General features: G+C 42.8%; 1 protein-coding gene and 1 pseudogene across 12 annotated transcripts in view; one reads left to right on the forward strand and one right to left on the reverse strand.

Annotated features, from left to right (window-relative positions):
• Positions 1–24,372, forward strand: part of ADAMTSL3 (ADAMTS like 3) — a 385,720-nt gene that overhangs the window by 149,350 nt on the left and 211,998 nt on the right. For all 12 annotated transcript variants that reach the window (XM_011521823.3, XM_017022434.2, XM_011521822.3 and 9 more), the window contains exons 5-6: positions 1,178–1,223; positions 16,339–16,575. In XM_011521823.3, the coding sequence (XP_011520125.1) occupies positions 1,178–1,223; positions 16,339–16,575 (283 nt within the window). The remainder of the gene's footprint in view (positions 1–1,177; positions 1,224–16,338; positions 16,576–24,372) is intronic.
• Positions 21,391–21,481, reverse strand: RNU6-1339P (RNA, U6 small nuclear 1339, pseudogene; annotated as a pseudogene).

Genomic DNA, 24,372 nt, shown 5'->3' on the forward strand with positions numbered 1-24,372 from the left:
TAAGCCTGTGTTTAGCTTTCCTGGCTCCAAATTTGCCATTGAATTCACCAGGAAAACATAAAGGGAAAAAATATGTAACTCCATTGAAAAATTAGGAAAAGTGCCATGAAGAGATCAGATATTTTTAAGGAGTTTATGTAAAATATAGACAGACAAGCACTGGACTGAGGAGAGTACCCGTTGGATGGAATTCCAGTCTCCCAAAGGAAAACTCTGCCTGGAAAATGAGTGGCAGGGTCGCAGAGCTAGTGGCTGTAGAGGAAGATAGGTTATGTGGTGGTCATCCCTGGAAAATTCTCAAACTTACCAGTATTAGCATCCCAAAAATACTGTTCCAACATGACTTGGTAGAATCCCATTTGGTAAGGTCAGTGGTTGAAACAAAATAGACCGGCTGCAGTAGCTCACGCCTGTAATCCCAGCACTTTGGGAGGCTGGGGCAGGTGGACTGCTTGAGGCCAGGAGTGTGAAACCAGCCTAGCCAACATGGTGTAACCCCGTCTCTAATAAAAATACAAAAATTAGCCAGGCACGGGGGTGTGCGCCTGCAATCCTAGCTACTCTGGAGGCTGAGGCTGGAGAATTGCTTGAACCTGGGAGATGGAGATTGCAGTGAGCCGAGATCAAGCCATTGCACTCCAGCCTGGGCGACAGAGTGAGACTCTGTCTCAAAAAAAAAAGGAAGCATTACTTCAAGCAAATTTCTAACAAAGACTGTTGTACTAATTAAAGGAAGACAGTGAGTGCCCTGCTAACTTGAGTTGCTTCAGTAAGGGAAGAGAAATGTCCTAGTGGAGACGTGCTACACAAATTCTTCTACATGTAGCATTTCCCTTTTCATTATAGAAAAGAATACACATATGCACACATGAGACACACACATATTGTACATTAATTGTAGTGGTTATATGGACCCTTGGGTAAGAATTGCATGTGAGTACTACTATTAACTAAAGAATTCATTCTTTATTTAATGTGACACTTCCACAAGACTTTTTGGCTCCCGATCCTTGAAAATTAGTTTCTTAGAATTAAACTTTGAATCTTTGGGGTAATGTGCACTAGTAAAAGTTTTACAGGGAACCAATGCCTTGTATTTGCTTTTTTTTTTTTTTTTTAATGCTTGCCTCTTCTATGAAATCATTATTTCTTCTTTCTTCTTTCTTTTTTCCTTTAGGAATTGTGAAGGGCAGAACATTCGGTACAAGACATGCAGCAATCATGTAAGTCATAAAATAAAATTATTTTATCCAATACAATATGTGCTTGTTTTAAGTTACAATATTCCAATGTGTACTCTAAAACTGATGGTCTCTTAATACCCTTTGTGGAAAACTTAAGTATTTCTTTAATTGACAACAGATTTTGTATATCAAATATCTTCCATTTATACTACCTTTTAAGGCCATATCACATTCATGATCTAATTTGGTAAGTATTTAATAATTTCTGAAGTCATAGAAACAATATAATATCTGCAAGCTCCTTCAAAGTTCAGAATGCTTTTATGTTCATTATCTTACCTGACCTTCACACTGTCTCTGGGCAGGTGAGGTGCAGCTATTTCTCTTTTGCGAGTGAGAGGACTGAGGCTGACCGAGGTAAAATTATTTTTTGAAGGTCACATAGGAAGAGTAGACTTACTTGAACTGGTCTGTTGTTATTTCTACCTCAGTGTCATGGAATGCTATAGGTGACCCATCAGCAAATCACACAGAAATATACAAAACCCTACCCTTATTTTACATCAGTCAACACTAAAAATAAAAATTCAAATATCTTGCTTTAGAAATTTGAAAATAAGGCCAGGCGCATTGGCTCATGCCTGTAATCCTAGCACTTTGGGAGGCCAAGGCAGGCAGATCACTTTAGGTTAAAAGTTCGAGACCAACCTGGCCAATGTGGTGAAATCCCATCTCTACTAAAAATACAAACTTAGCTGGGCTTGGTGATGTGTGCCTGTAGTCCCAGCTACTTTAGAGGCTGAGGAAGGAGAATTGCTTGAACCCAGGAGGTGAAGCTTGCAGTGAGCCAAGATCGCGCCACTGCACTCCAGCCTGGGCAACAGAGTGAGACTCTGTCTCAAAAAAAAAAAAATAAATAAATAAATTGAAAATAAAAAATAAACACCAGAAGGAATCCATTCTATTTTCCATTCAAAACATTTCCTGGTTATCAGTAAGAGGCTAACTAGAGGTACTTGACACTTGCCTCTTCATACACAAAAAGACCAAAACAACAAATAAACAACTACAATTAGACTAGAGTGTCTGAGGGAGAGCACTGGAATATAGCAAGGGAATAGCAGAATGCCTGTGGCACACAGTAACTCAAGATGGCAGCATAGGGAGGAGGGCGAAGTACTCTGCCTCTACTACTCCATCTCCCCTGTAAGGTAAGCAGGGAGCCCCTAGTAGCCCCTATTACCACTGCAGACACATGTAGTCCTTGCTACAGGAGAACGCGGCAGTCCTCACAGGCCCTGAGCCCAGTTTGGGGGAGCTGCCTGGAGTTCCCACAGCTGCATTGCTTCACAGTAGGAGCTCACATTGTGCACTGCCCACCTCCCATGACCCAGGCTGTTATGGCACAGTGCCACCTTGAAACTGGAGCCACTGCTAGAGTGTGCTGTACTCTAGGGGACAGTAACCACTGATCTTTCCATCCCACAGATGACTGCAGCACCACAACCCTAGCTATTTAGACCCTAGGCCTGGTGAAATGGTGGTGACTCTTGCATCCAAGTCCACATGGCACCCTTCCCTGCAAGGAACAGGTCCTGCACAGTTGTGCATGTACCTCCAGCTTAAGAACCAGCCTGGTGGCCCTTTCTCTGGCAAAGGTGCACCACTACTGCCCTAAACTCCTGCAGCCTAGGCTATTGAAGCACTCACAGATATTACTACATGGATTACAGCTGATGAAACTGTGTGTAGACCCAACTACTGTGTCCACCCAGAACCAATGTGAATTCACACTACTCAACTGACACCCTAGGACACATCTTTAGGGAAAAGTCTTTCCTTATAAAAGCTACTCTGTAAAATTGGAAGCAAAAACGAATTCAGCAGATGCACAGATATCAAAGTAGATACACAAGGCTGGGTGTGGTGGCTCATGTCTGTAATCCCAGCACTTTGGGAGGCTGGGGTGGGCAGGTAACTTGAAGTCAGGAGTTTAAGACAAGCCTGGCCAACATGGTGAAACTCTGTCTCTACGAAAAATACAAAAATCAGCCAGGTGTGGTGGCACTCACCTGTAATCCCAGCTACTTGGGAGGTGAGGCAGGAGAATTGCTTGAACCTGAGAGGTGGAGGTTGCAGTGAGCTGAGATCACACCACTGCACTCCAGCCTGGGTGACAGAACCAGATTCCATCTCAAACAAGCAAGCAAAAAACAAAACAAAGTAGATACACAAGAAACTTTAGAAAGCAAAGAAACATGACACCTTCAAAGGAATATAATTCTTGAGTAACAAACTCCAAAGAAAAGGAAACTTACAAAATGCCAGAAAAAGAATTCAAAGTAGTGATCTTAGGGAAACTTGTGAGATACAGAAGAACACAGATAAAAAATTTAATGAAATCATTTGAATTTACAATAGCTATATTTACAAGAGCTACAAAAAAGTAAGATATTCAGGAATAAATTTAACCAAGAAGGTAAAAGATCTTTGCATTAAAAATTATAAAGCATTAATGGCCGGGCATGGTGGCTCACGCCTGTAATCCCAGCACTTTGGGAGGCTGAGGCAGGTGGATCACGAGGTCAGGAATTCAAAAACTAGCCTGGCCAACATAGTGAAACTCCATCTCTACTAAAAATACAAAAAATTAGCTGGGTGTGGTGGTGGGCAATCGTAATCCCAGCTACTTGGGAGGCTGAGGCAGGAGAATCACTCGAACCCGGGAGGTGGGAGTTGCAGTGAGCTGAGGTTGTGCCATTGCACTCCAGCCTAGGTGACAGTGCGAGACTGTCTCAATAAATAAATAAATCAAAACAGTAATGAAATAAAGAGGGTGCAAAAAGAGGTGTTCATGGATTGGAAAAATTCATATTGTTAAAATGTCCTTACTATCCAAAGTGATATACAGATTTAATACAATCCCTGTTAAAATTCCAGTGACATTCTTCACAGAAAAAAAGAAATCCTAAAACTTGTATAGAATCACAAAAAGACTCTGAACACCCAAAGCAATCTTGATTAAAAACAAACAAACACACAAAAAACAAAACTGGAGGCATCACACTACCTGACTTCAAAATATATGACAAAGTGATAGTAACTAAAACAGCATGACATTGGTGAAAAAATACACATAGATCAGTGGCACAGATTAGAGAGTCCAGAAATAAGTCCACATACCTACAGCCAACTGATTTTCACAAGGGTGCCAAGAATACACACTGGGGAAAGGACAGTGTCTTCAATAAACTGTGCTGGGAAAATTGGATATCTATATGCAGAAGAATAAAACTGGACCCCTATCTCTCACCGTGTACAAAATCCACTAAAAATGAAGTAAAGACTTAAATGTAAGACTTGAAAATAAGAAACTGATAGAAGAAAACAGAGAAAATGCTTCATGACGTTGGACTGGGTAAGGATTTTTAAAATATGACCTCAAAAGCACAGACAATAAAAGCAAAAATAGACAAATGGGATTATATTAAACTACAAAGCTTACGTACATCGAAGGAAACAAGAGTAAAGAGATAACCTGAAGAATGGGAGAAAATATTTGCAAACTAGACAGCTGGACACGGAAATATTTAGAATATATAAGGAATTCAAACAACTCAATAGCAAAGAAACCCAAAACAAATAATTTGATTTAAAAATGGGCAAAAGGCCTTAATGGACATTTCTCAATAGAAAACATAAATACCAACCCAGGTGTATGAAAAAATGCTTAACATCACTAATCATCAGAGAAATACAAATCAAAACCACTATATCACCTCATTCCACTTAAAATGATTATTATCACAAAGACAAAAGACACAAGTGTTCCTGAGGATGTGGAGAAAAGGGAACCCTTATTGCTATTAGTGGGAATGTAAATTAGTTCAGTGTTTGTGGAAAATAGTATGGAGTTCCTCAAAATTTAAAAAATAGAACTACAATATGATCCAGCAATCCCATTACTGATTATATATTCAGAGGAAATGAAATCAGTATATCACAGAGACATCCTCACTCACGTGTTTATTGTAGCACTATTCACAATAGCCAAGGTATGGAATCAACTTAAATGTCCAACAGTGAATGAATGGTTAAAGAAAATGTGGTATATATACACAATGAAATACTATGCAGCCGTAAAAAGAAGGAAATGCTGTCATTTGTGACATGGATGAATCTAGAGGATATTATGTTAAGTGAAATAATCCAGGCACAGAAAGACAAATACCACATAATCTCATTCATACGTGGAATCCAAAAAAAAAAAAAAAACAACTTGATATCTTAAAAGTAGGCAATAAACCAGTGGTTACCAGAGACTGGGGAGGACAGGGGGCAGGTAGAGATTGGGAGAGGTTAGTCAAGAAAGTTACAACTAGGAAGGAAGGATGATTTTTGGTGTCCTGTTGCACAGTGGAGTAGCTATAGTAAACAGCAAGACATTGTATATCTCAATTTAGCCAGAAGAGAGGATCTCGAATGTTCCCACCACAAAGAAATGATAAATTTTTGAGGTGGTGAACATGCTAATGACCCTAATTTGTTCATTATATAATGTATACATGTATTGAAACATCACGTTGTACCCCATAAATATGTGCAATTTGTGGAGCCCTAAGGAGTTGAAAGAAAACTGAAAAATGGGCTTAGCTGGCAGAAACAGAAATAGGGGGTAGAGAGGAACAAATGTTCTGAGAAATAGGGTCAACTGCAAATGGCTCACTAGCACCCAAGCATCCTGTTACAAGCATCCAAATCACAGCCCACCTGCACCAAGCATCCTGTCTGCAAACATTCAGCCCAAGTAGCACAACCTAAAAAACTCCCTTGCAGTCCCTGCCTCTTTGCAGACAGCAGACAGCCTTCCCTCTGCTGTATTGCCCATTGCTCACTGGCAGTGTATCTCCCCTTTTCTTTAAATAGATCTGCCTTTCCAGACTCGTTACTGTCTTGGTAAATTCCTTTACTGACTATGTGTCGGCCCCAGGCAATCACTAACCATGACATTTTATGTGTTTATTAAAAGTTTTAAAAACATTTCCCTCATTGGTGGTATAGACCCAAATCAAAATGACAGGAATTAAAAGGAAATTCTGAAAATCAGGAGATCTCATTTCAAATGAGATTGATTTATTTTTATCCACTTTTCTCAATTGGCTGTAACTAATTTATTTTAAAAGATCAATTACTGGAGCTTTGTCTGTCTTTCTCCCTTCTCTGTCCCAAGCCAGTGTGAGACATCAGTCCTGGGTAAGGGTTTCTAATCTGTGGATCAAGTTTTTTCTTGGTGGGTAGGCCCCCGAGTTCTATGGGAGTAGAAAGCTGGCAGTCTTTAGCAACACCTTTTGACTGAGAGCTCAAGCCATATTTGCAGTCCATTTCTATCAACGATGAAGCTGACATTTCTATCTGTATCTCTCCACTGGTTCCAAACTTGAATGGGAAAAAATGGGTGCCTATTTACTGGGGCACTCAAACTCAAATATCACTTAGCCAGAAGTAACCAGATTTTTATCAACCGAGTCCTCAGAGGGATTTTGGAGCACGATGCAAATGCTTCACATCTCTGGTGATTTGAATTGAATCACACTTGATGTTGAGCAACACACCTGCTTGTGAATGCTGAATTAACATTCATTCATTGTGAATGCTGGAAGTCCAGATGGGGCATGTAGGAGGGAGAGAGAGAGACTGAACACAAAGGCAAGTATGTCAGTGCCAACGTAGTCTAGCCTTCCTTTTAAACAAGCATGTGGGTGCATTAGCAACCTCAGAGTTCTACCACCTTTTTCATGGGTGCATTAGTTGTTTTTATTGTTGTGGTAACATATTACTATAAATATAGTGGCTTAAAACAAGACAAATGTATTATCTTACGGTTCTGAAGGCCCGAAGTCTGACACAGGTCCTACTGGGCTAAAACTAACATATAGGCAGGGCTACATCATTCTGGAGGCCTAGGGAAAAATTAATTTCCTTTTTTTCCCAGCTTCTAGAGGCCACCCATATTCCTTGGCTTGTGATTCCTTCTTCAGTCTTCAAAGCCAGCAATGCTGCATCTGTTTGAACATTTTTCTTTTTCTTTTATTTTTCTTTTGAGACTGAGTCTCACTCTATCACCCAGGCTGGGGTACAGTGGCACGATCTCAGCTCACTGAAACCTCTGCCTCCCGGGTTCAAGCGATTCTCCTGCCTCAGCCTCCTGAGCAGCTGGGATTACAGATGCTAACCAGAATGCCCAGCTAATTTTTGTATTTTTAGTAGAAACAGGGTTTCACCATATTGGCCAGGCTGGTCTTGAACTCCTGACCTCAAGTGATCCGCCCACTTCGGCCTCCCAAAGTGCTGGGATTACAGGCATGAGCCACCGCACCCAGACTGAACATTTTTCTGTAGTCATATCTTCCTGTGACCACAGCTGGGCATTGTTCTCCCACCTGGATAATCCTAGATAATTTCTCCGTCTCGAGGTCTCTAACTTTAGTTATATGTGCAAAGATCCTTTTGCCATGTAAGATAACATAGTCGCAGGTTCCAGGGGTTAGGTCATGGACATCTTGTGGGCCAAGGTGGTGCATTATTTTGCCCAACACAATGGGATAGCTAAAGTTTTCTTTGGTCTGACAATTTCCTTGTAGTCATTCAAGAACAAATTTCAAAACAGTATGATTTCCAGCAATAATTTGTGAAACTATTTAAAACAATTCATTTTAAACCCCAGATCAAGGTGTTACATTTTGGGATCTCATTCTAGAGTTTCTCTGTGTGTGTATCACTCTGCTCTAGCTAATTCCAAAAAGGAACCTATTATCAACACAAGTGTTAGAGTATTATGCCACATAGTACAGACATAAAATGTAATCTGCTAAAATTATGCACATGAGGTGCAATGGTTAGGACTTTGGTATACTCGAGTGAAGATATGATGCCCCTGAAGCTCTCTGGGCCTTGGGGGTTACCTGTGGTCTCTAATTTATGGTCCCTCTGGGAGAATGCGGCAGAAATGTTTCTAGGTTGGTAAGAAATAGATGCTTGGGGTAGAGTAGGAAGGAGGTGGAGAAGCAAATGCTGCCCTTTTTAGTTCTCAGAGTTGGAATCCTTAGAGAGTCCTAAGAGAGGTTTCATAAGAATATAGCATCAGTTGCTATGCTTGTCATTGCAAACTCAGAATTTCCAACAAAATTCCTTATTTGTAAAATAAGGGAAGGTTGTGGCAGTGGAAGTGTCCAGAGCATCCCTTTGTCTCCACGTGCCACAGTATCTGCAGCTGTGCACGCCCAAGCTGTGTTGCAAACCAGAGGTGCATAAATGCAGCCCCAGCTTCAGTGTTGATAATCTGTAAGAGTCCATTCCTGCACAGGAGAGATTATGCAAGTATATTCCTGAATATACTATAGAAACATTGCAAACATGTTGAGTGCCATAAGTGGATGTAACCACAATGAACTTGGAGTATGAATATGGTTGTATCTTTTTTTCCATGTAATTACTTGAACTGCTTCCTGCTTTATTAATTGGGGGCTCAAAATATCCACCTCACCATAGCAGGAGTGGGGACCAGTCTGCAACCCACCCCACCTCAAGTGGGAGAGGACCAAGTTCTGATGAGCATCCCCCTGCTGTTACTTCTCACTGCCTTCCCACTGCCATTCAATGCCTTACTGAAGACTGGCCACACTAGTTCAGTGGTTAGTGGAGTTCATTTTACCTGGAAATGGGGATGGTCATTCACTCTTTTGAAGGAAGTTGCCTTTAGTGATTCTAAGATGAGGAGTTCTTTTGAGGGATACTTGCCCCCTGATTCAAACATGCCTACACCTATACTTCCAGGACCGTAAAAGCCCTGTATTAAGGGACGGCAGGGTCTTTTCAGTCCCATCCAAGAGATGTCATCATCAATGGCCAAACTCAGTCTCTATCAGAGTAGTCTGCTGTATGGAGAAGGAGGTGTTTCTGTTAGTGAGCCTTGGAGATCTAACACTGGATCATATTCCAGAGATTGCTAAAAGTTCTGTTTCTCCATGGGAATGCCTGAAGGCTCAGGCTGTCAGCCTTAAGACCATGGGTTGTTGTCTATACGTGTTGACTTCCTCACACTTAACTGAAATAGTAATAATAATAGTAGCTCATACTTATTAAGTACTTCCTGAATGCTAGGCATTATTCTAAGTGCCATTTCATGTATAAATTAATGTAATCCTCACACTAACCCTGAGAAGTACGTGCTATTTTTATTTCCACATTTACAGAGGAGATTTAAGTAACCTGCCCAAGGTCACAGAACCGAATTTAACCTCAGACAGTCAGGTTTCGGTGAGTGCACACCTAACCACTCTACTACACTGTACAAGAGTATGGAAAGGCTGTAACCTTTGTCAGATAATAAAATGATGGTGCAGACAGCAGTAGCTAAAGCATGGTAGCTTTTAGCAACACGTGAGCACAAGAATTGCTGTGGTTTTGGAGACACATTATACTTCCAGATACCATTGTAGAAAATCTAACTGTGGAACAGTAGGTCAGACCTTCTAAATAATCTTAGTTGGCAAGGGCCAGAGATCAGGGAAGAGCAGGGAATTAACTGAAAGAGACGCAACTGAAGGGAGTCAGAGAAAGGAAATCCTCCATGGCTATTCGTTTTCCACTACTCCAGCAGCCTGGGGTGGATCCCTAGCATAGGGGAGGATCTGACTTAACGAGGACAGACTCTGACAGTTGCATTTCAGAATTCTACCCACCTCAGCAGAAGACACTAAAGAAAAAAAAATTCAGTCACTCAAGAAAAGATCAAATGTTCTTTTGTTATGAAATCTAGTTGTAATAGGGACATGCATTCACAGCACATAGATGAAGATGAAGAAATTCCACTCCTGGTGTGCAGGAGATCATGCCTCAAATGGCAGGAGCGGAAGACATATCCAGGCCACGAGGACCACACCACTCTCCCTGACAATTCAGACTTTGGTTCAGTGGCTCTCCTCAGGTTCACTCTGTCAGGGGAGATGGGGATTTGGGCTTTGGGCCTGAAAGATTATGGAACAGAACATGCCTGGGTACAGTGCCATGGCTCCTGGGTGACTGCTGTCTTCAGACATAACCTGCTGATCAGCACTTAGCATATATCTTTATAGCCAGAGACTGGCCCCTGAGCCCTAGATAAAGAATTATCCTTATCAGGGGTATTTTGGAGCAAATGGAGAATTCCTAAGAGAAGTCATGCATGTCAGCAGGGAGGTCTAATACCTGAATTCACTGATGAGTCATGTTTTTATACCAGGGTTTATAGGATTAAAGGCAATGCTGGAAGAGGCAAAGGGAAAATAATTTTAAGATAAGTGTATCATAATTTGGTAAGGATGTTTTTGTGGCATGAACACATTTTTATATGAGCACAGAGGGAGGCCTGGTGTACTTGCAGACGGGGCTCCCAGGGCTCCTTCTTGACTTTACAGAAGGGACATTTGATGTGACCATTGCGGGATCCCTCATACCTGGATCCTATGAATGGCTAGAATCTGACAATTTTCCATTCAGTATTTCTCTTGAAGGTGTTCTTTTCTTTTCCTTGTCATTAGTCCTACTCTGGGCAAGAGTCACCCCCTCTCATGTCTGTCTCCAGACTTCCAGGCCATCTTGCGATTATACTGTTCCTAAAATGCCATCTTTTATATTTTAGTCCCCTCCGTGGATCCTTATTGCTTTTAAATCTCCTCACTTGCATTCAAGGACCTTCTTATCTTCAGGTAAGATTTATCTCTTATTTAAACTCCCAACTTCCACCCTTTCTGGACAAGGCTGCACACTGCTCCTTATGGATAACGAATTTATTTCTGCTGTTTCTCTTTTGTTACGTCGTTTCCCGAATCTTATCCTGTTTACATCACACCATCCTTTAAATCCATCTGAGATTTCACTTTTCCACAATTCCTTATTTGCCAACTCTAGCTTACAGTGGCCACCAACAATTTATTTTTATGCTAGAAATGTTGTCATTTGTTATATGAAAGAATCACAAAATTTAGCTCATAGTACAACTTGGATATGAAGTTAAAATAAAATTTTAAAATTTGCTTGTAGCAACAATATTATTTCTCCTGAGTCCCTACTTGCTGGTTATTGGGAGAGGGGATTGGGAGGGGGATTGCCTAAATGTCTGATCTACATGAAAGCTTGGTCCAGTCCTATTATATAAATAATCTCAGGTAATGGCCTGTCTCTCTTGCATAAAAGTACTCAGTTTATTAGATAATCTTTCATTCCTGGCTTCTATACATAAGTTGCCCCCAGGTTTTACATATCCCCATGGTTTTAGGAGGGGAAGGAGACCTTGTTTTCAAGATGGTTTGGGAAATGGGTGCCTTTTGTCATTTGTTGGCTGTGGCAGCTGCCTCCTCTTCCTTTCTCTTCCCTTCTCCTCCTCTCCATCCTCTTCTCTTCCTCCTATCCTTCTCCTCCTCTTTCTTCTTTTCTGAGCTTCCCAGACTGGCTACCTGCACTGACTGACACTTCCTTTTTATTACTTCTATCAGGTTAGAGTCAAGTCTTGCTGATATGGAATCTATTCTTATTAACTTCATCTAATCAATTGTACAACTTAACTCTTGGATAACAATTCTGTGCCCTTCATTGCATTCCTACTTAAAGTCTACAAATACCAGTGATAACACTTGTTCAGTGTGTTTCATGCGTATAGAAGCTACATCTCCAATAAGATAACAAGCTCATTGAATGACAGTGGTGGATTATATTTTTTTTTGTGTGTTCTCCCTAGCACGTGACCTAGGGCAAAGCCCATCAAGTATATTTCATAAATAAGTGTTGTCTTCAACTTAACTGATAGGAAAAAAATGCTTCTTAGGGAAAGGAAAGCAGAAGAATGTTTGGCATTTTGCTCCCTAAATGTCAAATAGACTGTTTAAGACACAAGAATCCCTAGCTTGTCTTGAGCTGGGACATGGGACCTAGCTGAGCCAGATTAGGCAAGTTTAGCGTTGACACTGGAAGAATGTGAAGTGAATGAAAGCATTTATTGTAAGCAGTCAGCGTCCCCCACATTTACTAGAAAGCAGTATTCTATAATAGAGTGCTTGTTACTTTGAGAATCAGTCTTGGCTTTGTCATATCCTAGTGTGTGTCTTTGGACTAGTGGCTAAAAACTTTCTAGGTCACAGTTTTCTCCATTTATAGAGTGAGGGTAATAATCCTGACCTACCTAGTTCAAAGGGTGGTGGTAAAAAGAGAATGTCAGTGATTACCCCTGGGAAACTAAAAAGCATGATCCGGATATCAGGCTGCCTTAATCAGATAGCATCATATGCTAAGAACAGAAGTCCACTTAGATTAGCTCAGGACAAAGGGGATTCACTGGATGGATATGTGGGTTTTTAAGAGAATTTAAGCATAAGCAGGCCTTGAGGGCCTGGAGCCAGAAATCAGAAAATGAGGAACACAGGTTACTTATTCCTATTTAAATGCATAGTTTACTGTCTTTCCTCCTCCTTTCTTACCGAATTCATTCTTCTTTGCTGTGGGAACTGGCTTGCTTTGCTTCAACATGAATCTTATAAAAGAAATGGCCAGTCCAACCCCAGATTGATATGAGTTCTTAGCTCTCTTAGCTCCAGCTCTTTTGTTGCAATCGCAAATTTCTGGGAAAGATTGACCTGGTGTGGACCAGATGTTTGCCTCTGGATAGTCAGCTGTGGCCAAGGGGGCTGGTCACATGTACAAATCTGGCCACCCTGAGGCTGACATCCTAAGGTGTCTTCCGCTAATTAACTCTTGTTAATTTTGTGAAACTTCATTGGTTTATGTTTAAGGGAGTCGAGAGTTAGCTAGCCGGCACATTCAGTCCCTAGAGAATGCTTGCCATTGAGCCTAATGCAAAGAAGTTGCTTGCATCCTGCTCTCTTAGACACTTTCCTTTGGTTGGTTTCAAAGAGTGAGATATAGAGAAAACTAGCTGTGGCTGGAGGAAGAGGAGGTGATGTAATTTTGTAACTGATGATCCTTCCTATGGCCAGATGGAGGATACAGTCCTCATTTCAACAGAGGAAAGTCATCTGGCCTGGCACGGTGGTTCATGCCTGTAATCCCAGCACTTTGGGAGGCCAAGGCAGGCAGATTGCCTGAGCCCAGGAGTTTGAGACCAGCGTGGGCAACATGGCAAAACTGTCTCTACAAAAAATTAGCTGGATGTAGTGGCTCGTGCCTGTAGCCCCAGCTACCTGGGAGGCTGAGGTGGGAGGAAAACCTGAGCTCTGGAGGTCGAGGTTGCAGTGAGCCATGATCATGCCACTGCGCTCCATCCTGGGTGACAGAGTAAGACCCTGACTAAAGAAAAAGTCATCCAGTTTTAGTCTTCTTCAGTTTGACTTGCTTCTAGGAGTGTAACCTGGTTTAATTTTGCTAAGACAACAAAAATGTGGATGCAATATAGGATTTTGGAATGTTTCACAGCAAAATAATACAACTAATCTCAGAAGAATGTTTGTTAATTATATTCTATCTATTCCCTATCTACTTCCAAAAAGGATTTAAGGAAGTTTATAAAGGCCAAAAGTGTAAACAATAAAATACAAACGTGAAGTAGCAAAAAGAGGAAAACTGTATTTAAAAATCTTGGCTGATAATTTATCAATATCTATTTGTGGAAAAAGAAAAGCTAGATTTCTAACTTAAACCATTCATCTAAATAAATTCCAAATATAACAAATAGTTAAACATGACTGCTAATCTGTAAAGGAACTAGGAAGATACATTTAAGTATTTATCTGTTCTCAGAGCAGAGTGGGAAAACATTTCTAAGCCCATTAAAAAAGAAAGAAACCTGAACGGGAAATATTAATAGAGCTGACTGCATGAAAATGTAAAACTTTTTGACTTTACAAAGTACCAAAACCAAAATGAAATGGGGAAAATATTTCCAACAGAAATGACAAAGAGTTGATAATTTCACTATGAAGTTTAATAGTTTCATCTGCTGAAAATAATAAAAAGACAAAAATGCCAATGGATAAAGGATATAAAACAAGACATTTTTGAAGAATTAATACAAAAAGCAAATACACATGAAAATATATTAAACAATAAAAAGAAAATGCAAGCTGGGCGCGGTGGCTCACACCTGTAATCCCAACACTTTGGGAGGCTGAGGTGGGTGAATCACTTGAGGTCAGAAGTTTGAGACCAGCCTGGCCAACATGGTGAAACCCCATCTCTAATAAAAATACAAAAAAATTAGCTGGGCATGGTGGCGGGCACCTGTAATCCCAGCTACTCGAGAGGCTGAGACAGGAGAATCACTTGAACCTGGGAGGTCCAGCCTAGGTGACAAAGCAAGACTCTATTTCAAAAAGAAAACGCAAACGAAAACAATGAAGTTATATTTTATACTTCTGATTGGAAAAAAAACTAGAAAATTATAATGGAGGGCAATTTTGCAATATTTTGAATAGTCTATAAAATGTGCATAACCTTGGACTCAGAAATTTTATTTCCAGAAAGAAGTCCTTGGTAAATAATCAAGATTTGTGTGAAGATTTAGATACAAAGATCTATGTTATTTATTCTTTTGTTGAGTAGAAACTATTTTCCAAAGTTTTTAGAATGAATATTTATTACCTTTATAATACAAAAAAATAATAAAATACTTTATGGTGTGGTTTTTTTGTTTTGTTTTTTTGGCAACAGAGTCTCGCTCTGTCACTCAGGCTGGAGTGCAGTGGCACAATCTTGGCTCACTGCAGCCTCCACCTCCCAGGTTCAAGCAATTCTCCTGCCTCAGCCTCATGAACAGCTGGGACTACAGGCATGCGCCACCACACCCAGCTAATTCTTGTATTTTTCACAGAGACGGGGTTTCACCATTTTGGCCAGGCTGGTCTGGAGCTCCTGACCTCAGGTGATCGGCCCGCCTCAGCCACCCAAAGTGCTGGGATTACAGACGTGAGCCACCACGCCTGGCGGCTATGTTGCTTTTTTCTACCTGTTGTCTTTAATTATGAAGTTTGCATATCAAAAGTAGATTTTTGATGAGTAAAGTAATACTTTTCTCAACTAGTATCTTGCTTTGGAAATATCTGGTGGGCGGAATCAGTAATTTAGTAAAAAGACCGATGAGTCATCAATATTTGTACAAACACTTTTTATTATGAGAGCAACTGAAGGCATGTACTTAGAATTTATTTGCTTTTGTTGTAGACAGAATTTGAACAAGCTATGTTTTCTGCCGTCCATCCTACAGCCAGTTGAAGGCAGGTACTTGGTACCAGTGAAGAGATGGGAGGGAGCCTGACGGGAGGAAAGACAGATGAATTAAAAACAACGACAGGCCGGGCACTGTGGCTCACGCCTTTAATCCTGGCACTTTGGGAGGCCGACACAGGTGGATCATGAGGTGGGAGAGCCAGACCATCCTGGCCAACGTGGTGAAACCCCGTCTCTACTAGAAATACAAAAATAAGCTGGGCGTGGTGGCGGGCGCCTGTAGTCCCAGCTACTCAGGGGGGCTGAAGCAGGAGAATCGCTTGAACCTGGGAGGCGGAGGTTGCAGTGAGCCGAGCCACTGCACTCCAGCCTGGCGACAGAGTGACACTCCGTCTCAAAAAAAAAAAAAAAAAAACAATGACAAAGAAACAACCACAAGTGCTCACAGAGCACAGCAGTTTTGGGCTAATAATCCTTCACATTGAAATGGCTCCTGAAGGCATGGATAACAATTAAATTTTGATGAAGACCTTGAATCCTTGAATCACCTGGAAAAATTGAAAGCATTTGGTTTCCCTTGTTTTAAAAGGAAGGAGATTAGATAATGCATTTGAAAATTTATATTCAAGATGGTTAAAATAGGGCAAAGTTTGCCATCTAAGTCTTGTAGGCTCTAATTATCTGGAAAAAATACCTGGGTGGGTGAATGATCAGAATAATGAGATAATCTCCTGTATAAATAATTATTGCAGTGATCTCTGTGGAATTTCATAGCATACATTCAACGTTGAATCAAAAAAAAAAAAAAAAAAGAGGGAATTAGGTGACTCCCAGAGAGAGGCAAGTGAGGTGTGGTCTCATGAGATTCTGGTGAACTTATTTCATCTTCTCTTGGCCTCTCTCACTGGGTGATGTGCATGTGGCCTTTTCCCTCTGCCCCCAGGACTGCCCTCCAGATGCAGAAGATTTCAGAGCCCAGCAGTGCTCAGCCTACAATGATGTCCAGTATCAGGGGCATTACTATGAATGGCTTCCACGATATAATGATCCTGCTGCCCCGTGTGCACTCAAGTGTCATGCACAAGGACAAAACTTGGTGGTGGAGCTGGCACCTAAGGTACTGGATGGAACTCGTTGCAACACGGACTCCTTGGACATGTGTATCAGTGGCATCTGTCAGGTAAGCACACTTACCTCCCAATCCCCTGCTTTGGGGATGTGCCACGCCTACTGTCAATAAACAGAACCCTTTTCTTCTGTATTTTTGTTCATGCAGATGTAAATATTGCTATTGGCCAGGTACGGTGGCTTACACCTATAATCCCAGTTTTGTATTTTTATACAGCAAATACAAATACAAATTGTATTTGTATCCCAATTTTGTATTTTTAGTATAGATGAGGTTTCATTATGTTGGCCAGGCTGATCTCAAACTCCTGATCTCAGGTGATTCGCCTGCCTCAGCCTCTCAAAGTGCTGGGATTACAGGCATGAGCCACCGCGCCGGGCCATCGATTAGTGATTCTCTAACTTGAACAAGCATCAGAGTCACCTGGAGGGCTTGTGATAACAGAGTGTTGGGCTCATCCCCCGGAGTTTCTGATTCAGTAGGTAAAAGGGATGGGGCCCAAAGATTTGCATTTCTAACAAGTTCTCTGGAGATACTGAAGCTGTGGGTCTGGGGAATACACTTTGAGAACCGCTGTTTTGGAAGAGTAATACTAGAGAGTCTCTTATTAAATTAAGCTTTCTTATTAAAATTAATTCATTGTTTTGGATCTTTGGGCACAATGATTTATTTACTGAAAACTAACATGAATGCATTCCAGCAGATTTTTCAGAGTGGTCTCTGCAGAGCTGTGACAAATGTGACTGAGACATAAACCCCAGTGGCTTTTAATGAGTATAAGGATTCAAGACACTTTAGGCCGGGTATGGAGGCTCACCCTGTAATCCCAGCACTTTGGGAGGCCGAGGTGGGTGGATCACTTGAGGTCAGGAGATCAAGACCAGCCTGGCAACATGGTGAAACCCCATCTCCACTAAAAATACAAAAATTAACTGGGTGTGATGGTGTGTGCCTGTAATTCCAGCTACTAGGGAGGCTGAGGCGGGAGAATCACTTGAACCCAGGAGGTGGAGATTGCAGTGAGCCAAGATCACGCCACTGCACTCCAGTCTGAGTGACAGAGCGAGACTGTCTCAAAAAGAAAAAAAAAAATTAAAAAGACACTATGACAGGTTGTGAGACAGGGATGGCAGGGAAATTATAGGATTCTGCATCTATTCTTTTGACTTCTGAAAAATATTTTTTTTTTTCCAAATGTGAGCAGAGGTTATTTTATTCTTTCCTTTCACTTACTGTCTGTCTCCCTGAGTTTCTTTTTTTTTTTAATTGATCATTCTTGGGTGTTTCTCGCAGAGGGGGATTTGGCAGGGTCATAGGACAATAGTGGAGGGAAGGTCAGCAGATAAACAAGTGAACAAAGGTCTCTGGTTTTCCTAGGCAGAGGACCCTGCGGCCTTCCGCAGTGTTTGTGTCCCTGGGTACTTGAGATTAGGGAGTGGTGATGACTCTTAACGAGCATGCTGCCTTCAAGCATCTGTTTAACAAAGCACGTCTTGCACCGCCCTTAATCCATTTAACCCTGAGTGGACACAGCACATGTTTCAGAGAGCACAGGGTTGGGGGTAAGGTCACAGATCAACAGGATCCCAAGGCAGAAGAATTTTTCTTAGTACAGAACAAAATGAAAAGTCTCCCATGTCTACCTCTTTCTACACAGACACGGCAACCATCCGATTTCTCAATCTTTTCCCCACCTTTCCCCACTTTCTATTCCACAAAACCGCCGTTGTCGTCATGGCCCGTTCTCAATGAGCTGTTGGGTACACCTCCCAGACGGGGTGGTGGCCGGGCAGAGGGGCTCCTCACTTCCCAGTAGGGGCGGCCGGGCAGAGGCGCCCCTCACCTCCCGGACGGGGCGGCTGGCCGGGCTGGGGGCTGACCCCCCCAACTCCCTCCCGGATGGGGCGGCTGGCCGGGCAGAGGGGCTCCTCACTTCCCAGTAGGGGCGGCCGGGCAGAGGCGCCCCTCACCTCCCGGACGGGGCTGCTGGCCGGGCGGGTTGCTGACCTCCCCCACCTCCCTCCCGGACGGGGTGGCTGGCCGGGCAGAGGGGCTCCTCACTTCCCAGTAGGGGCGGCCGGGCAGAGGCACCCCTCACCTCCCGGACGGGGCGCCTGGCCGGGCGGGGGGCTGACCCCCCCACCTCCCTCCCAGACGGGGCGGCTGGCCTGGCGGGGGCTGACCCCCACCTCCCTCCCGGACGGGGTGGCTGCCGGGCGGAGACGCTCCTCACTTCCCAGACGGGGTGGCTGCTGGGCGGAGGGGCTCCTCACTTCTCAGACGGGGCGGCTGCCGGGCGGAGGGGCTCCTCACTTCTCAGACGGGGCGGCTGCCGGGCGGAGGGGCTCCTCACTTCTCAGACGGGGCGGCTGCCGGGCGGAGGGTCTCCTCACTTCTCAGACGGGGCGGTTGCCGGGCGGAGGGTCTCCTCACTTCTCAGACGGGGCGGTTGCCAGGCGGAGGGTCTCCTCACTTCTCAGACGGGGCGGCCGGGCAGAGACGCTCCTCACCTCCCAGACGGGGTTGCGGCCGGGTAGAGGCGCTCCTCACATCCCAGACGGGGCGGCGGGGCAGAGGCGCTCCCCACATCTCAGACGATGGGCGGCCGGGCAGAGACGCTCCTCACTTCCTAGATGGGATGGTGGCCGGGAAGAGGCACTCCTCACTTCCTAGATGGGATGGCGGCCGGGCAGAGACGCTCCTCACTTTCCAGACTGGGCAGCCAGGCAGAGGGGCTCCTCACGTCCCAGACGATGGGCGGCCAGGCAGAGACGCTCCTCACTTCCCAGATGGGGTGGCGGCCGGGCAGAGGCTGCAATCTCGGCACTTTGGGAGGCCAAGGCAGGCGGCTGGGAGGTGGAGGTTGTAGCGAGCCGAGATCACGCCACTGCACTCCAGCCTGGGCACCATTGAGCACTGAGTGAAGCAGACTCCGTCTGCAATCCCGGCACCTCGGGAGGCGGAGGCTGGCGGATCACTCGCGGTTAGGAGCTGGAGACCAGCCCGGCCAACACAGCGAAACCCCGTCTCCACCAAAAAAATACGAAAACCAGTCAGGCGTGGCGGCGCGCGCCTGCAAATTGCAGGCACTCGGCAGGCTGAGGCAGGAGAATGAGGCAGGGAGGTTGCAGTGAGCCGAGATGGCAGCAGTACAGTCCAGCTTTGGCTTGGCATCAGAGGGAGACCGTGGGGAGAGGGAGAGGGTGAGGGAGAGGGTGAGGGGGAGGGGGAGGGAGAGGGAGAGCTGAAAAATATTTTTAAAAAATAATGAATGTGTCTAGTATTTCACCTACCCTATTCTGCTCATAACAAAAACAATAGTAACAACAGCAGATGAGCAACCTGACCACCTGCTAAGTGTGGGGCACTACCAGGAGCTTCAGACTTAAAGTGCTCAAAGGTGAACCTTCATCCTGCTTTTCAAACTAGCTTCAACTTTGTTCATCCCTTTATCTAGAAAATGGCTTCTAGTTGCTTATCCCAAAACTTTGACATCATTCTTGCTTTTCTTTCAACCCACACATTTGATCCATTGCCACGTCCTGTCAATTTTCCCTCCCAAAGATTACTTTTAATTTAGCACGTCTTTCCATCTTTACTGCCTTTCTTGTAGCCTAAGTCCTTATTAGCTAATCTAAACTGCATTAACAGCTTTCTGTTCTGTTCTCCGAGCTCCCACCATGATTCCCTCCAGTCTGTTCTTCACACAGCAGCCAAAGTGATTATGTTAAAAGGTAATTCAGAGCTTGTCATTCTTGCATTCCTCAAAGCCCTTCAATGGCTTGTCCTTGCATTAATGATGAAATTGAGGATTCTTGTCTATCTCCTTTAGGCTCTTCCTACACTATCCACCTCCCTGCCCTTTTAAAACAGACTCCATTTCCTTCTTCTTCTTCCTCTTCTTCTTCTTCTTCTTCTTCTTCTTCTTCTTCTTCTTCTTCTTCTTCTTCTTCTTCTTCTTCTTCTTCTTCTTCTTCTCCTCCTCCTCCTCCTCCTTCTCCTTCTTCTTCCTCTTCTTTCTTCTTTCTTCCTTCTTTCTTTTTTTCTTTTTCTTTTTTTTTTTAAAGAGACAGGGTCTCATCTGTCACCCAGGTTGGAATACAGCAACATGATCATGCCTCATTGCAGACTCATCCTCCTGGGCTCAATCGATCCTCCTGCCTCAGCCTCCCACGTAGCTGGGACTAAAGGCATGTGCCATCACGCTCAGCCAGTTTTTTGCTTGATTTTTGTAGAGATGGGGGTCTCGCTATGTTACTCAGCTGGCCTTGAGCCTCCCAAAATACTGGCATTACAGGCTTGAACCACCATACCTGGCCTGACTCCATTTTTTAGAGCAATTTTAGATTCACAACAAAATTTAGTGGAAGGTGGAATTTTCCCATAGGACCCCCCTGCTTCCTTAAACGCACAGCCTCCCCTACTATCAACATTCCCCACTAAAGTGATACAGTTATTACAGTCGATGAACCTACACTGACACATCATAATCACCCAAAGTTCATAGTTTACATTAGGCCTCACTCTTGGTGTTGTAAATTCTATGAGTTTGGACAAATGTATAATGACATGTATCCACTATTATAGTATAATGCAGAGTAGTTTCACTGACCTAAAAATCCTCTATGCTTTGCTCTTTCATCCCTCTCTCCTCGCTAACCCCTGGCAACCATGGATCTTTTTACTGTCTCCATAGTTTTTGCCTTTTCCGGAATGTCACAGAGTTGGAATCATATAGTATGTAGCCTTTTCGGATTGGATTCTTTCATGTAATAATATATTATACATTTAAGTTTCCTCAGTGTCTTTTCATGGCTTGATAGCTCATTTCCTTTTTTTAATTTAAAAAATTTAAGATAAAAAATTAAATTAATGGAATGTTTCACAAATTTGCATGTCATCTTGGCGCAGGGGCCATGCTAATCATCTCTGTATCATTAGCATTGTATCATAAAATTGTATCATACCAATTTTAGAATATGTGCTGCCAAAGTGAGCACAATAGCTCATTTCCTTTTCACACTGAATAATATTCCCTTGTCTGGATGTACCACAGTTTATCCATTCACCTGCTGAAGGACACTTTGGTTGCTTTCTACTTTTGGCAACCAAAAGTAGACTTTTGACAAAAGGTCAAAGCTTACCATATAATTCTTCCATTTTATAAACCGTCTATTGTTCCCCATTATTGCCATCAGTTAAGGTTTGGGCTCTTTGACCAAATGATAATAGTAATCCTTCTCAGTGGGATTATGCTGTTGTTTTCCAAGTTCTTGACAATGATCATGCATTGTTTTTATAATTAAAATGAATTGTTATTAAAAGCAATTTAGGTTGGGCGCATTGGCTTCTGCCTATAATCACAACACTTTGGGAGGCCAAGACAGGAGAGTTCGTTAAGCCTAGGAGTTCGAGACCAGCCTGGGCAACATGGGGAAACCTCGTTTCTACAAAAACTTTTTAAAAATTAGCTGGGTGTGTTGGCGCAAGCCTATGGTCCTAGCTACTTGCTACTCAGGTACCTGAGGCAAGGATTCGCTTGAGTCCAGGTAGTCGAGGCTGCACTGAACTATGATTGTACCACTGTACTCCAGCCTATGATAGGGTGAGACCCTGTTTCTAAAAAATAAAAATATAAATAAATAAAAGGAATTTAGTCTGGCCTCAAGGAGCGCTCTCTGGATAAGGTGATGTTTGGACACTGAGGTTTTGAAAAGTTGAGTAAAAGTTAGATAAACCAAGGTGAGGAAGAGAATGACAAGCAGAAGGGACAGGAATGTAACAGCAGGTGCAGATGTGTTTAAGGTCCAGGAGTGCATTCTGTAGAGTTGAGGTGAGAATACCCATGGAATAGTGCTAGGAGATGAGGCTACCAGTGGAGGTGGGAAACCAATCATTAACTTATTCTGAAAGTAGAGAGAGGAGCTGTTTCATAATTTTATAAAGAATTTGGGCTTGTCTTTAGAAAGGTCATTTCAGTGGCAAAGTGGCAGATTATTTGCAGAGGACAGGATCTAGCCAAACAGTAGAAGGTCAAGTATGGGATAACAAGAGCTTAAAATAAGGCAAGAGGTAGGATGAATTAAATGGAGACAAATTCTAAAGATTAAGGATGTATTTTTTTTTTGAGACAGGGTCTTGCTTTGTTGTCCAGGCTGGAGTGTAATGGTGTGGTTACAGCTCACTGTAGCCTTGGGCTCCTGGGCTCAAGTAATCCTCCCAACCTAGTCTGCACTCCACCCCTAAGTAGCTGGGACTACAGTAATGTTCCACCATGCTAGGATAATTTTTATTTTTTACATTTTTTGTAGAGATCAGGTCTCACTATGTTGCCCAGGCTGATCTCCAAGTCCTGGCTTCAAGCAACTTTCCTACCTTGGCCCCTCACAACACTGGGGTTATAGACATGAGCCACTGAGCCTGGCCCTGGAAGCAGATCTTTTTTTTTTTTTTTTAATTTTTATCAAACCATGCTTTATAGCACAGGTACAATTTTTTATTTCTTTTTTTATAGGACTTTTAAAAAAATTATACTTTAAGTTCTAGGGTACATGTGAACAACGTGCAGGTTTGTTACATATGTATACATGTGCCATGTTGGAATGCTGCACCCATTAACTCGTCATTTACATTAGGTATATCTCCTAATGCTATCCCTCCCCCCTCCCCCCACCCCACAACAGGACCCGGTGTGTGATGTTCCCCTTCCTGTGTCCAAGTGTTCTCATTGTTCAGTTCCCACCTATGAGTGAGAACATGCGGTGTTTGGTTTTTCGTCCTTGCGATAGTTTGCTGAGAATGATGGTTTCCAGCTTCATCCATGTCCCTACAAAGGACATGAACTCATCCTTTTTTATGGCTGCATAGTATTCCATGGTGTATATGTGCCACATTTTCTTAATCCAGTCTATCATTGATGGACATTTGGGTTTGTTCCAAGTCTTTGCTTTTGTGAATAGTGCCGTAATAAACATACGTGTGCCTGTGTCTTTATAGCAGCATGATTTATAATCCTTTGGGTATATACCCAGTAATAGGATGGCTGGGTCAAATGGTATTTCTAGTTCTAGATCCCTGAGGAATTGCCACACTGACTTCCACAATGGTTGAACCAGTTTACAGTTCCACCAACAGTGTAAAAGTGTTCCTATTTCTCCACATCCTCTCCAGCACCTGTTGTTTCCTGACTTTTTAATGATCGCCATTCTAACTGGTGTGAGATGGTATCTCATTGTGGTTTTGATTTCATTTCTCTGATGGCCAGTGATGATGAGCATTTTTTCATGTGTCTGTTGGCTGTATAAATGTCTTCTTTTGAGAAGTGTCTGTTTATATCCTTTGCCCACTTTTTGACTGGGTTGTTTGTTTTTTTCTTGTAAATTTGTTTTGAGTTCTTTGTAGATTCTGGATATTAGCCCTTTGTCAGACGAGTAGATTGCGAAAATTTTCTCCCATTCTATAGGTTGCCTGTTCACTCTGATGGTAGTTTCTTTTGCTGTGCAGAAGCTCTTTAGTTTAGTTAGATCCCATTTGTCAAGTTTGGCTTTTGTTGCCATTGCTTTTGGTGTTTTGGACATGAAGTCCTTACCCATGCCTATGTCCTGAATGGTATTGCCTAGGTTTTCTTCTAGGGTTTTTATGGTTTTAGGTCTAACATTTAAGTCTTTAATCCATCTTGAATTAATTTTTGTATAAGGTGCAAGGAAGGGATCCAGTTTCAGCTTTCTACATATGGCTAGTCATTTTTATTTTTGCCAGCACCATTTATTAAATAGAGAATCCTTTCCCCATTGCTTGTTTTTGTCAGGTTTGTCAAAGATCAGATGGTTGTAGATGTGTGGTATTATT

The sequence above is a fragment of the Homo sapiens genome, chromosome 15 (assembly GCF_000001405.40).
Source record: "Homo sapiens chromosome 15, GRCh38.p14 Primary Assembly".
Taxonomy (NCBI): Eukaryota; Metazoa; Chordata; class Mammalia; order Primates; family Hominidae; genus Homo; species Homo sapiens.